Consider the following 14,129-nt stretch of genomic DNA (forward strand, 5'->3'; position numbering starts at 1 on the left):
TGGGATTTTAGGTGTGAGCCTGCGCTCCCGGATCCCTCATGTTCTTTTCATCATAAAGAATAATATTCACACAGCACTTTACTGGGGGCCATTCCATTTTCCAGGGATAGGGATAGAAGCCAAACAAACCACTTCCTTGTTTCTTCCATTGAAATGATATTGAAATAAGGTCACTTTCATTTGTTTCCTCCTTTTATTCCAGTGGTGATTAAAACTGAAATCACTTTTCCAGGGATTGGTACATAAAAGCCCCAAGGACTAATCACTGATACTAAGCAACACTGACCTCAGGGCGATAGGTTTCCCGGTTATCCTTGATATATGTTGACAATATGCATCTAACCATTCACTAGATGCCTGGAAATGTTAATGCAAAATTAGCATCACTTAACAACGGTACTTGTTTAGGGGTTGTTTTTAAAATTTTTGAGCTGGTCTACTTGTTTCTTATCTCTAAGCTGTCTTTTGGTTTGCTTGCGGGAATGCAATTGCTAGTACTGGGTAAAAGGAGGTCATTGTAGGGCACAGTGAAGTCATTATTTATGAGTTAGTGGAATTTTCAATGGTTTCCTGGAGCAAATAGATGTTTATATGTCTGATATTTTGAGCATATCTGACAGAGGCTGTAAATAATATTGTATCTTACACATCTGACTTTTGTGGTTGACATCTACGGGGCCCTTTCCCACACTTACCATAGAACAATATGCAGAGACCTAACAGGAACAGCCAGGCTCCCTGGATTAAGCTACTCCACTTCTATCTTCATAGAGAGGAAATTGTACGATGCAAAGCTTCTTACTTAAACCACCATTCAGACCAAGGAGAAAGGTGTCAATAAGGTCAATGCTATAGTCAGGATCTGAACTGAAAGCTGAATAAACAAAATTAATATCCTGAGCCAAATCAAAACATTATTTTTATTTTGTTTTATTTTACTAGATCTTAGTTACTTTTTATTCTTAAACTAAAAACGCATTCAGTGGAATCATATAAACTCAAAATTGGGTCGTCAAACATTTTTTTTCCCCTAGAAATGTTTGAATTGGAATAAAATCAAAGTATTCAAATGTTTCTTAAATAGAGCTTGTAGAGTTGTTTTATGTGAAATCTTGGTTATAACTGAAGACAAATGTCCCTTTGGAAATTTACATTTCTCTGGGGTTCAGCTGCTTACCTGTTTGTGAGTATCATCAAGAATGAAAGAGTAGGGCTAGGCGCGGTGGCTCACTTGTAATCCCAGCACTTTGGGAGGCCGAGGTGGGCAGATCACGAGGTCAGGCAGATCATGAGGTCAGGACCATCCTGGCTAACATGGTGAAACCCCGTCTCTACTAAAAATACAAAAAAACCCCCCAAAATTAGCCAGGCGTGCTGGCGGGCGCCTGTAGTCCCAGCTACTCGGGAGGCTGAGGCAGGAGAATGGCGTGAACTCGGGAGGCGGAGCTTGCAGTGAGCCGAGATGGCGCCACTGCACTCCAGCCTGGGCGACAGAGACCCCGTCTCAAAAAAAAAAAAAAAAAAGAATGAAAGAGTAGGTGCTAGGAGGTATGAACCAATTAGCCCATTATCCCCTCTAGGCTTCAAATGAACTAGTTGTGAGGTTGGGAAGTTGAAAAGTTGATGGAGGGAAAGCCCTGGGTTAAGTTGGACTCCTGGGGCCTTTCCCCCTCATTCTCCAGAGAAGTTTCAAGTCCTCCCCCGCCCCCACTTCCCGCCTACCACCAACCTCAGCCGGAGAGGGGTTTCTAAGAGATGACCATCAGGAGAGACTCACCTGGGAGTAAAGAAGGTGTCTCAGGAGCAAGCTGCAATAGTGCATATCTATCTCCTGAACACCAAATAGGAACCAATATCATCTTAAAATGAATCTTGCCCAAGAAAACTTTCAGAACAGAGAAAGGGCCCCAACAGAAGCACGAATAGTCAGAATCTAGGGACTAGTGGGAGACGTAAGCTGCCAGCCAGAGAGGAATTGTTCCCAGCATGGGTGATTGAGTGAGATGATTTTTTTTTTTTTTTTTTGAGACGGAGTCTCTTATTCTGTCACTCAGGCTGGAGTGCAATGGTTGTGATCTCAGCTCACTGCAGCCTCTGCCTCCTGAGTTCAAGCGATTCTTCTGCCTCAACCTCCCAAGTAGCTGGGATTACAGGTGCACACCACCACACCTGGCTAATTTTTGTACTTTTAGTAGAAACAGGGCTTTGCCATGTTGGCCAGGCTGGTCTCAAACTCCTGACCTCGGGTGATCCGCTAGCCTCGGCCTCCCAAAGTGTTGGGATTACAGGCATGAGCCACCGAACCCGGCCAAGTGAGATGATCTTTTTTTTTTTTTTTTTTTTTTTTTTTTGAGACAAAGTCTCACTTCTTCGCCCAGGCTGGAGTGCAATGGCGCGATCTTGGCTCACTGCAACCTCCGCCTCCCAGGTTCAAGCGATTCTCCTGCCTCAGCCTCCCTAGTAGCTGGGATTACAGGCATGTGCCACCATGCCCGGCTAATTTTTGTAATTTTAGTAGAGACAGGGTTTCACTGTGTTGGCCAGGCTGGTCTCTAACTGCTGACCTCAGGTGATCTGCCTGCCTTGGCCTCCCAAGTTGCTGGGATTACAGGAGTGAGCTACCACGCCCAGCCAAGATGCTTTTTAAGAAGTCCCATTGGAGGCCAGGCATGGTGGCTCACGCCTGTAATCCCAGCATTTTGAGAGGCCGAGGCGGGTGGATCATTTGAGGTCAACAGTTCAAGACCAGCCTGGCCAATATGGTGAAACCCTATCTCTACTAAAAATACAAAAAAAATTAGCCGGGTGTGGTGGCCACACTGTAATCCCAGCTACTAGGGAGGCTCAGGCAGGAGAATCGCTTGAACCTGGGAGGCAGAGGTTGCGGTGAGCCAAGACTGCGCCACTGCACTGCAGCCTGGGTGACAGAGTGAGACTCCATCTCAAAAAAAAAAGTCCCATTGGAGAAAGAGGCAGCATTGCTGTGCCTGGCACCTGCAGGGCACTGAGGCCAGAGCGCAACTCTACTGGCCTTGCGAGACTACACCCTTCTCCCTCTTCCCCTTGCTCCTTGGGTCTGACCCTGAGGGTCTAAAACATTTGCTTGCGAGTTGGAGAGGAGGTGGATGGGGAGAGAAGAAGCCAATGATACCTAGTCCTCCACTGCAGGGCTCCAAGCCTGAAGCAAACCTGAGCTAGAAGTTAAGAGAATAAGATAAGAGAATAGGCCGGGCGCGGTGGCTCACGCCTGTAATCCCAGCACTTTGGGAGGCCGAGGCGGGTGGATCACGAGGTCAGGAGATCGAGACCATCCCGGCTAAAACGGTGAAACCCCGTCTCTACTAAAAATACAAAAAATTAGCCGGGCGTAGTGGCGGGCGCCTGTAGTCCCAGCTACTTGGGAGGCTGAGGCAGGAGAATGGCGTGAACCCGGGAGGCGGAGCTTGCAGTGAGCCGAGATCCCGCCACTGCACTCCAGCCTGGGCGACAGAGCGAGACTCCGTCTCAAAAAAAAAACAAAAAAAAAAAAAAAAAAAAAAACAACTAAGCCAGGTGTGGTGGCATGCACCTGTAATTCCAGCTACTCTGGAAACTGAGGCAGGAGGTTCGCTTGAGCCCAGGAGTTTGAGGCTGCAGTGAGGCACCCCAGCCTGGGGGACAGAGAGAGTTACTGTCTCTTAAAAAACAAAACAAAAAAAACAGTCAAGAATCAAGAACCCTCTGGCTCAGGGAAGGCACTAAGGATACTAGTTGGCTCATTGCTTCTGCAGGACATACAAGAATGATTGCTTTTTAAAAAAAATTAGACTGGGGTACCTGCCAGCCTAAATAACTGCAGTGCTTGACCAAGAGCCAAGCCTAGAAGGCCAAAGACAGAGTTCAAAGATTGCCCTTGTTTTAGACAAGATGATTTCTATTCGCCTTCAGAGAACATTTAGGTCCTACCCTGTCCAGGGATTTAGGCTTGCAGGCTTCTCAGATGCCAGTCTTTTCATGGAGCCGTGGCTCTGCATACCTTGGTTTTTCTCCCACCCCCATGGCAGGGGAGAATCCAGAAGGATCTTTCAAGCACCTTTAGGGAGGAAAACAGAGAAGGCAATAGCCACGCCGCATTCATCATCTCCTTTTCTTCTGAGTTCTCCATTTAATAGCATCAAATTGCCTTTCCCCTACTGTTCATAAACCATTTCCATGTGTATTATTATAATGATCGGCAGGATGTGGGAAGAGAGAGACATCTTCCAGTACAGCCTGGCAAGCATTCTGCGGTTGACAGAGCACCAAAGATCCTTATAGGTCCCCTTTCCACACCCTTTCTCCTCCTGTGTTCCCAGTGGTCACAGCTCCCAGTAACAGCAGTGACTCAGTGGTTCAAACATCAAAGTAAAGAGGCAATTGTCTGGAGTTGAAAGTGGATATTTAGGCAAACACTGAGAGCAGTGAGGAGTGTGTGGAACTTGGCCTGGAGAAATCCCCTGGGTGATATGCATGGATAGAACCCACAGTTCAGCCTGTCACTGACCTCTCTGCAACTAAGAGACTGAAGGAGAAGATGGCTGCAACACAGAGATCTCTGCTTCAGTCCTGGGGATCCCCACTGACAGTTTCGGGTTGACTCCACTAAGAGACACACTGTAGACCAGCTCTGGGCTAACATGCCTCCTCAGCCTCCAAGAGTGCAGATTCCTCCCTCACTAGCCCAGGTTGCTTGTCTCTAAGAATTCCAAAGAGGTGTGTCAGCTCTACAACAAAGCCAATAACCACTCTGTTTTGCTGAGATTCTCCTTTACACTTACAGATGATAAGGAGCTTTTCTAGAAAAAAAGAGGTGGTGATAAAAACTTTCTTCCCTTAGAATGTGAGGTGATGCAATGACTGAATCAATTGAACAATGCCCACATGTTTATTCTCATGGCGTTCTAGTTATCTCCCATCGTAATTCCAGTCCTAACTTCTTGCTCTAAAGCATACTGATAAAAATCACCTTTTAATACAATCATTATTGACCTCAGCCATTGTATTAATCAGAAGTAATAACTACTGTAATAGCTTTTATTTTATTTTATTTTTTGAGACGGAGTCTCACTCTTGTCTCCCAGGCTGAAGTGCAGTGGTGTGATCTTGGTTCACTGCAACCTCCACCTCCTGGGTTCAAACAATTCTCCTGGCTCAGCCTCCTAAGTAGCTGGGATTACAGGTGTTCACCACTACACCTGGCTAATCTTTGTATTTTTTTTTAGTAGAGACAGAGTTTCACCATGTTAGCCAGGCTGGTCTCGAACTCCTGACCTTACGTGATCTGCCCACTTCCACCTCTCAAAGTGCTGGGATTTCAGGCATCAGCCACCACACCTGGCCTGTAATATCTTTTAAATCTTACTGGTTTAATACTAGACAGGTTATTTCTTGAAAATGTTAAAGTCCAATTGGATGCTTGGCAACTGGACTCAGATGGCTTATGCCTAGTGCTTCCACCATCTTTGGGGGCCTCAGAGTCTTCTACTGGGTCCTCTGCATCTGACTTCCCAAGAAAGAGCTTGTGAACTATGCTGTCAGAGGTTTTAGGGAAGCCAGGCACATCGCAGCAACTCACATTCAGAATCAGCCCAAGCCAGACTGCTTTGAGCTCAGGAGTTGGAGACCAGCCTGGGCAACATGGCAAAACCTCATCTCTACAAAAAATACAAAAATTAGCCAGGCATTGGTGTCTCCCAGCTACTTGGGAGACTGAAATGGGACAATCCCTTAAGCCCGGGAAATGGAGATTGCAGTGAGCCCAAATCACGCCACTGCAACAGCCTGGGCAACAGAGTGAGACTCTGTCTCAAAAAAAACAAAACAAAACAAAAACGAAAAACAAACAAAAAAAGAATCAGCCCATGCCTCACCTCACTGCAAGGGGCTGGGAGATGTAGTTCTGCCATGTGTTGCTCAGGAAGAAGAGGAGCCCGTGGTTTTGGTGAGTGCTGTCTTGGTGGCAGCCCACCTCTCTGGGGGAAGCAGTATATACAGGGATGAGGAGGCCAGGGTCTAGAGCTGGACTGCTTGGTCTGGAATCCTGACCCAGACACTTCCTCATCATGTGGCCTACTCCTTTGTAAACTGGGCACAATAATGTTACTTACCCGAAGTGTTGCTGTAAGGGTTAAACAAGATGACTCCTGTAAGTCCTGAACTTAGCGCAGTGGCTGCACATAGTAAACACTTGAGAAACACTAGCTATTTGCAATGAATGTGAAGCCTTTAGACCAAGCCTGGCAGCACAGAACCTCAGCTGTTATTGTTCCTCCTTTCCCTTATTTATGACTTCAAAGAAAACTTTTTTTTTTTTTTTTTCTGAGATAGGGTCTCACTCTGTTGCTTAGGCTGGAGTGCAGTGGTGCCATCATGACCCACTGCAGCCCCTACCTCCTGGTCTCAAGTGATCCTCCCACCTCAGCCTCTTAAGTAGCTGGGACCACAGGTGTGCGCCACCATACGCAGAAGGTTTTTTGTATTTTTGTAGAGACAGGGATTCACCATGTTGCCCAGGTAGGTCTCAAAGTCCTGGGCTCAATTGATCTGTCCGCCCCAGCCTCTCAAAGTGCAGGAATTACAAGCGTGAACCACCGCACCTGGCCTAAAAACCTTGTTTTCTGATGTTCAAGGTCCTCCATCTGCTTCTTTGCTTTCCTGTTCTCTTCTTTGCTGCAAGTTTAAGTGTCTGGTTCCATTCCTGATTTTGTTTCTCTCTCCTCCATCATACAACCTCTGGCTGTCAAAGTCTTCCTGGCTTATGCCCCACCCTGTGGCCTCCAGTTCTCTCTCCTCTATCAAATACCTCCTGACAATTTCCTGTTAATGAAACCTTGTTTTTATTGCACATTTAAAGAATCTCTCTAAATGAAGTGGAGTGTTCCCCTCTGATTTTCTATTTTTTCCCTTACATTGTATCAATTTTCACAGGGAATAAAACCCAGGAAAATCAGGGCTATTAGCAGCAGCAATCCCAGTAATCAGGTTTATGGAGTCTCTGGCACACTGATGGGACAAAGTCAGAAAACAGAACCTGAGATAAGTTTCTGTAATTGTTTTATCTGTGCAATCTGGAGAATTTTGGTTGGCACATCCTCATAGAGAGCTTTATGAGAGTAGGCATTTTGTTATTCATAACTGTAGCTCCCTGGAACTGTACACATAATAGGTGTTCACAACTGGCTTGCTTAAAAAAAAAATCAGTGTTTACTTGAAGAAAGGAGAGTTAGCAGAAGGAGAAATGAGGACAAGGGAATAGACTCATTAAAGCCTACTCAACTAGTTTCTTCTGATATTCTCCACCACTACTTTTTATGGTATTTTTAATTAAAGGATTAAAGTTATCATTAACAAATATTTTTCTTTGCATTAGATAAGACAGTATAGAAAGACTCCGTCTCTATTTAAAAAAAAAAAAATTAGTGGGGCTTGGTGGCGTGTGCCTGTAGTCCCAGGGGCCGAGGTGGGAGGATCAATTGAGCGCAGGATGTCGAGGCTGTGGTGAGCTATTTTGCCACTGCACTCCAGCCTGGGTGACAGAGTGACAACTTGTCTCTAAAAAAATTAAAAAGAAAACAAAGAAAAACAAAAGAAAGTACATTAGTTCTAGATGAAATCTTGCTGTAAAAAAAAAGAAAAGAAAGGACACTAGCAATGTTGGAAGAGCTAGCATATTTCATGAAAATGTATGCCTTCAGGATCTCAATGGTCATTCTGATTCACCAGATTATTAATTTTTCTCTTGAAAATTGTTGAGGTCAGGTGCAGTGGCTCACGCCTGTAATCCCAGCACTTTGGGAGGCTGAGGCGGGCAGATTACCTGAAGTCAGGAGTTTGAGACCAGCCTGGCCAACGTGGTGAAACCCCATCTCTACTAAAAATACAAAATTAGCTGGGTGTGGTGGCACATACCTGTAATCCCAGTTACTTGGGGGGCTGAGGCAGGAGAATCATTTGAACTCGGGAGGCAGAGGTTGCAGTGAGCCGAGATCATGCCATCACACTCCAGCCTGGGCAACAGAGTGAGAGACTCCGTCTCAAAAATAAATAAATAAATACATAAATAAATATATAAATAAAAGAGAAAGAAAATTGTTGAGAAGACACATTCTCCAGATCGAGTTTAATTGAAAAAAGGCAATTACTCATATGTTTATGTTAGTTAAATTCTGAAGTAACAAAAAATCAGAACAAAGCATTATATTGTATTCATTCTGATTTCTGATTTTAAAATAGTTTGTAAAGTTAACTTTTAAATGTTGAAAATGGCTGGGCGTGGTGGCTCACACCTGTAATCCCAGCACTTTGGGAGGCCAAGGCACGTGGATCACTTGAGCTCAGTTCGAGATCAGCCTGGACAACATGACAAAACCCTGTCTCTAGAAAAAATACAAAAGCTAGCGGGGTGTCGTGGTGCATGCCTGTAGTCCTAGTTACTCGGGAGACTGAGGTGGGAGGATCACCTGAGCCTGGGAAGCAGGGGCTACAGTGAGCCGTGACTGTTGCACTCCAACCAGGACAATGGAGTGAGACCTTGTCTCAAAAAAAAAAAAAAGAAAGAAGAAAATGAAAAAGAACAAATTAAATGTTGAAGATGAAACACAATTGAGAAACTACTTGCTGTTCTGGGCTTTGTTGAGAAGAATCAGCATCCCCCATTCTCTTCCCCACTTCCTACAGTCTCACAAGTCAGATCTTTCCTGAATAGACCTACTGATGAAGAAGTGAGGCCAAATTAACATGAAGTATCATTATGATAAAGAAATAGACAGTGATACCAACACTTATGAGACTGGGGCAGCTTTGCCAGATATATTAAGATTTCTTTTTTGCCTAACCAAGAAGGTTACTGATTTGTAAGAACCAGTCCAAGTTGGGTGCAGTGGCTCATGCCAGTAATTCCAGCTCTTTGGGAGGCCAAGGTGGTAGGATTGCTTGAGTTCAGGAATTCAAGACAAGCTTGGACAACATAGTGAAACGTCATCTCCACTAAAAATAAAAATAAAAATAAATTACCTGGGTGTGGTGGCACATGCCTGTAGTCCCATCTACTTGGGAGGCTCAAGGAGGAGGATTGCTTGAGCCCAGAAGTTCGAGGCTGCAGTGAGCTATGATCACTCCAGTGCACTCTAGCCTGGGGCAACAGAGTGAGACCTTGTCTCCAAAAACAAATGAGCAAAACAAACAACCAAACAACAGCAACAAAAAGTCCAGATTTTCTCATACTCTGAAATTGTACAAACTACGAAAAGACTGTTTGGCTCTAAGCTTCAGGGCAAGCAGTCAATAAATATTTGTTGAAAGAAAGAATGAATAAATGAATGAATGAATGAATGCATTATAATCAGCTATTGCTGGTCCAGAACAAGATAAGCTGAGGCCTGAGAATAGGTGCCAGAAAAGGAGATAATTTCCTCTTGACATTAGGACTGAACCCCTAAGAGGCCTTCCTGCCTATCTGAGTGATGTCTAAGGTCTTAGGCCGTATGTTTTAAACTAACCTTACTCCTTACCAACAAACAGGGATTGATTATATAAATAGCCAAGTAATTCAGACCCATATATGTCTATTTTCTGCACAAAAGATCTGTACTTCGCCTGGTTGTAGAACCCTTGTCCATCCCCTTAATTCTGGAAGAGCTGGTGGAAGGGAAGACACTGTCATGTCTACTTCCTTCCTGACTTGGACCCCATTTCTAGGTGTTGGTGTTTATTTCTTAGTTACAAAGGGGGTTGAAGGGGGCACGCATGTATTTCCTGAGTGTTCATAGGGTGCAGGGAGTGATAACAAGAGCAGGCATGAAGCCATAGTCAGTTCTGCCTGCATTAAGACCAGGCTACCTACCTTGAATAGAAAAACTGTCTAAACTGAGTGGTGAGCTGTTAATAGGCTCACAAGGTAACAGGGAGAAGCAGTGATCGTCCAAGCTCATGATGAGCTCTGAGGGGAAATCCATTTCTGGGTGTAGCTGAATCATGCATACATGTATTACAGCAGTCCCCAACCTTCCTGGCACCAGGGACTGGTTTCGTGGAAGACAGTTTTTCCACGGACGGGGTGCGGGGTGGGGGGGCGATGGTTTCAGGATGATTCAAGCACATTACATTTATTATGTACTTTATTTCTATTGTTATTACATACACTTCATAATGTAGAATCAGTGGGAGCCCTGAGCTTGTTTTCCTACGACTAGACAGTCCCATCTCAGGGTGATGGGAAACAGTGGCAGATCACTGGGCGTTAGATTCTCATAAGGAGTGCACAACCTAGATCCTTCTCATGCACAGCTCACAATAGGGTTTGTGCTCCAGTGAGAATCTAATGCTGCCACTGATCTGACAGGAGGTGGAGCTCAGGCAGTAATGCGAGTGATGGGGAGCAGCTGTAAATACAGATGAAACTTCGTTCACTCACCTACTGCTCATCTCCTGCTGTGTAGCCTGCTTCCTAACAGGTGATGGACTGGTACTGGTCTGTGGCCTGTGGGTTGGGGACCCCTGTCCTAGGAGATCTGTGAGCAATGTCTGAAGTGTTAGTCAAGGGAAATGGAGCTCATCCTTCTGAGGGTGAGGCCAGGCCTTGGCTTGCCCATTGCAGAGGACAATTCTCTGGGCTCTAAAATGTGGCTTTGCTTCCTCATAACCTGTCGTTTTTTATTATCAGTGTCTAAGTAGTCAGTAAGTGTCATTGGCTTCTCTTAAAAGCCTTTTGGAAGTACTTTTATGTCACATGAATAGAAGCAATGGAGATAATTTCCTTCCTTCACCTTCGTTCACTGTTATGTCTTTGGCCCAGGTTCACTTTCAGCACACTGGAGACATTGCTCATGGTCATCTGTTTGTAACTGGGTTCAGTTCTTGGTTTCACTGCTCATGCGGGGTCATTTGCAGTCTCCTCCGTCCTCCTCCCACCTTCCAATCTCACAGTCTACAGAAATTTCAGTTCCCTATCTTTCATGTCAGCCAGTTAGATTGTACCTCATCCTTTGAAGGGAACTGGGAATCTTTCTTTTGCTCTCATTTTCCCCAGTTTGTAGACCACTAGCAGTGGCAAGGTGGTTTACCATTCACCATTAATAAACATTTTACTAGGGGTTTAATAATCAACATGTTATTTCCTGTTTTTCACACATCAATGTGAAAACTACCTTTGTCTCTCTAGTGACAATTGTGCTGGTGTGACATACTGAATGGAAACTGTTCAGCTTTCAAAAACTCATTCAGCTGTCCAAAAAAACCAGGGTTAGACTGGAATGGGGTCAGAATACAAAGGCATTTGCTTTGAAAGACTATAGTTTCTATTGGAACATACAGTTTGTTGACAGTCTTCATCCACTAGTACTTACATTTCTTTGTCAATGTCTAGGAAATATGTGATTCTAACAGAATTCTCTGATTTCAAAATATCATTTTTCCCTTGAAGACCATCAGAGAGTCTCACTACTACATGTGAGAGGTGCCATCATGTTTCTTTATTAATTTAGTTTTTGATTTGGGCATTATATTTTATGCTAAGGTAAAATATGTTCCTTCTTAGTTACCCCATTTAAACCTAGAGTGGATTCCAAAAGGTTGTTTTCAAAAGATTACCTTTAAAATGCCAGGATGCACATGCTTAGAGACATGCATTTGTAAATTTCAAAAAAAAAAAAAAAAAAAAAAGGTAGAGGCAAAAGTAAAATTAATGCTTATGATTGTCTTTCTGGAAGGCATTACAGATGGTCCTTGACTTATGATCATTCAACTTATGATTTTTTGACTTTACTTCAAGCACCTATACAATCATTCTGTTTTTCACTTTCAGTATAGTATTTAATAAATTACATGAGATAGTCAACACTGTTATAACGTAGGCTTTGTGTTAGATAATTTTGTTCTGCTGTAGGCTATTATGAGTGTTCTGAGCACATTAAAGGTAGGCTAGGATAAGCTATGATGTTTGGTAGGTTAAGTGCGTTAAATGTATTTTTGGGCTGGGCGTGGTGGCTTATGCCTGTAATCCCAGCACTTTGGGAGGCCGAGGAGGGAGGATTGCTTGAGCCCAGGAGTTTGAGACCAGCCTGGGCAACATGGCAAAACTTCATCTCTACTAAAAATATAAAAAAGTAGCTAGATGTGGTGGTGTACACCTTGTAGTCCCAGCTACTTGGGAGGCTGAGTTTGGGGAATCACCTGAGCCTGGGAAGTTGAGGCTGTAATGAGCCATGATCACACCACTGCACTCCAGCCTGGGTGACAGAGTGAGACCTGTCTCAAAAAATTAAAAAAAAAAAAAATCGACAACGCTATTTTCACCTTACAATGGGTTTGTTGGGACATAATTCCATCATAACATGAGGAGCATGTGCATATTTCTCATCATGGTGGGGTTTTCTAAAATGAGACTGAGTGCCAAGTTGTGCTGTGGTAGAGCTGAAACGGATAATAAGCTGGAGCCACAGCAATCTATTTATATTGGTTTACTTCCAGCAAGATGAGAACATTGGAATTCAGTGTTTACTGGAAGAAATAACACCTATGTTAAACCAGGTGATTACCAAAGGGAACTAAGAAAAATGAAAAAAAATCAGCAACCCTAACTTCCAACAACTCTAACTGGTTTAGCACAAAGTACTGAGTTGGTGGGCACTTTCCACAAATTGCCTGTGTAGATGTACAAACCCAATAAACAAATTCAGGAAGAAGGCTTTGCCCAGGGTATACCACACTATGAAATTTGAATGAATTTTCTGGAACAGGAAAATGATGGTTTGGGGATTATATATGTGAATTATGGGACTAGAGAGACCTCACTTTTCTTTCTTTTTGAGACGGAGTCTCGGTCTGTCACCAGGCTGGAGTGCAGTGGCGCAATCTCCCGGGTTCAAGCGATTCTCCTGCCTCAGCCTCCCGAGCGCCACCACGCCCAGCTAACTTTTTTTTTTTTTTTGAGACTCTGTCGCCCAGGCTGGAGTGCAGTGGTGCGATCTTGGCTCACTGCAAGCTCCGCCCCCTGGGTTCACGCCATTCTTCTGCCTCAGCCTCCTGAGTAGCTGGGAATACAGGCGCCCGCCACTACGCCCGGCTAATTTTTTGTGTATTTAGTAAAGACGGGGTTTCGCCGTGTTAGCCAGGATGGTCTCGATCTCTTGACCTCGTGATCCGCCCACCTCGGCCTCCTAAAGTGCTGAGATTACAGCCGTGAGCCACCGTGCACGGTCAGAATACATTTCTTTACTTCTTTTGAAGTTAGGCATGTCCACACAGTTTGACTTGGCAAATGAAATGTGAGAGTAAATAATGAGATTCACCTCTCATTTCCTCTGGTTTGGTCACCAAAGAAGAACATATTGAAATGGAATCTACATCAGCCAACTCTGCCGGCTGGTATGAGACATGTATTGTGAATAAGAAACAAACCGTGTCAGCCAGTGAGATTTGGAGGTTGTTTATTGTTAAAGTGGAAGCTAGCCTACCCTGACTGATGCAGGCAGTGTAGGGCTAGGTAATCTACTTGTGGATGGACATGGATTCAGAAGTAGCCTGTGACACAGCTGAACAACTTAACAGTCTGATGCCAAACAACCTAACAGGTTGATGCTTAAAGAATGACTCTTCAAAGATGAGAACAGCCCACAAACAAAACAAAACAACACAAAAGGAAAATTCTTCAGAAGCTATGTCCTGAAGTCCTTCTGTTTGTAACAGGACTTTCTTTCCCTCTAGCTACTGCCCAGCTTGGAAGGCTGATCCGTACACTTTCTCCTTTACAATCTCTGATTCATGCAACTATCATCGTCAAAAAGAGATTGTGGACTAGGCTGGGTGTGGTGGCTCAGGCCTGTAATCCCAGCACTTTGGGAGGCCAAGGTGGGTGGATCACCTGAGGTCAAGAGTTCGAGACCAGCCTGGCCAACATGGCAAAACCTGTCTCTATTAAAAATACAAAAAAATTAGCCGGGCATGGTAGCGTGTGCCTGTAATCCCAGCTACTCGGGAGGCTGAGACAGGAGAATCCCTTGAACCCAGCAGGCAGAGGTGGCAGTGAGCTGAGATTGCGCCACTGCACTCCAGCCTGGGCGACAGAGGGAGACTCCATCTTAAAAAAGAAAAAAAAGAGATTGTGGACTAATGAC

At 44.4% G+C, this 14,129-nt stretch overlaps 2 annotated features.

Annotated features, from left to right (window-relative positions):
- Positions 4,509 to 4,578: an enhancer, noted in NCBI's record as "active region_22563". NCBI's record gives its function as "activates an Ori minimal core promoter by ATAC-STARR-seq in GM12878 lymphoblastoid cells {active_cell/tissue: GM12878}" and the evidence as "EXISTENCE:reporter gene assay evidence [ECO:0000049][PMID:35858748]".
- Positions 5,223 to 5,723: an enhancer, noted in NCBI's record as "H3K27ac hESC enhancer chr5:55385865-55386365 (GRCh37/hg19 assembly coordinates)". NCBI's record gives its function as "activates a minimal SCP1, AML or CMV promoter by ChIP-STARR-seq in primed H9 embryonic stem cells {active_cell/tissue: H9 hESC(primed)}" and the evidence as "EXISTENCE:reporter gene assay evidence [ECO:0000049][PMID:30033119]".

Source organism: Homo sapiens, chromosome 5 (genome assembly GCF_000001405.40).
Source record: "Homo sapiens chromosome 5, GRCh38.p14 Primary Assembly".
Taxonomy (NCBI): Eukaryota; Metazoa; Chordata; class Mammalia; order Primates; family Hominidae; genus Homo; species Homo sapiens.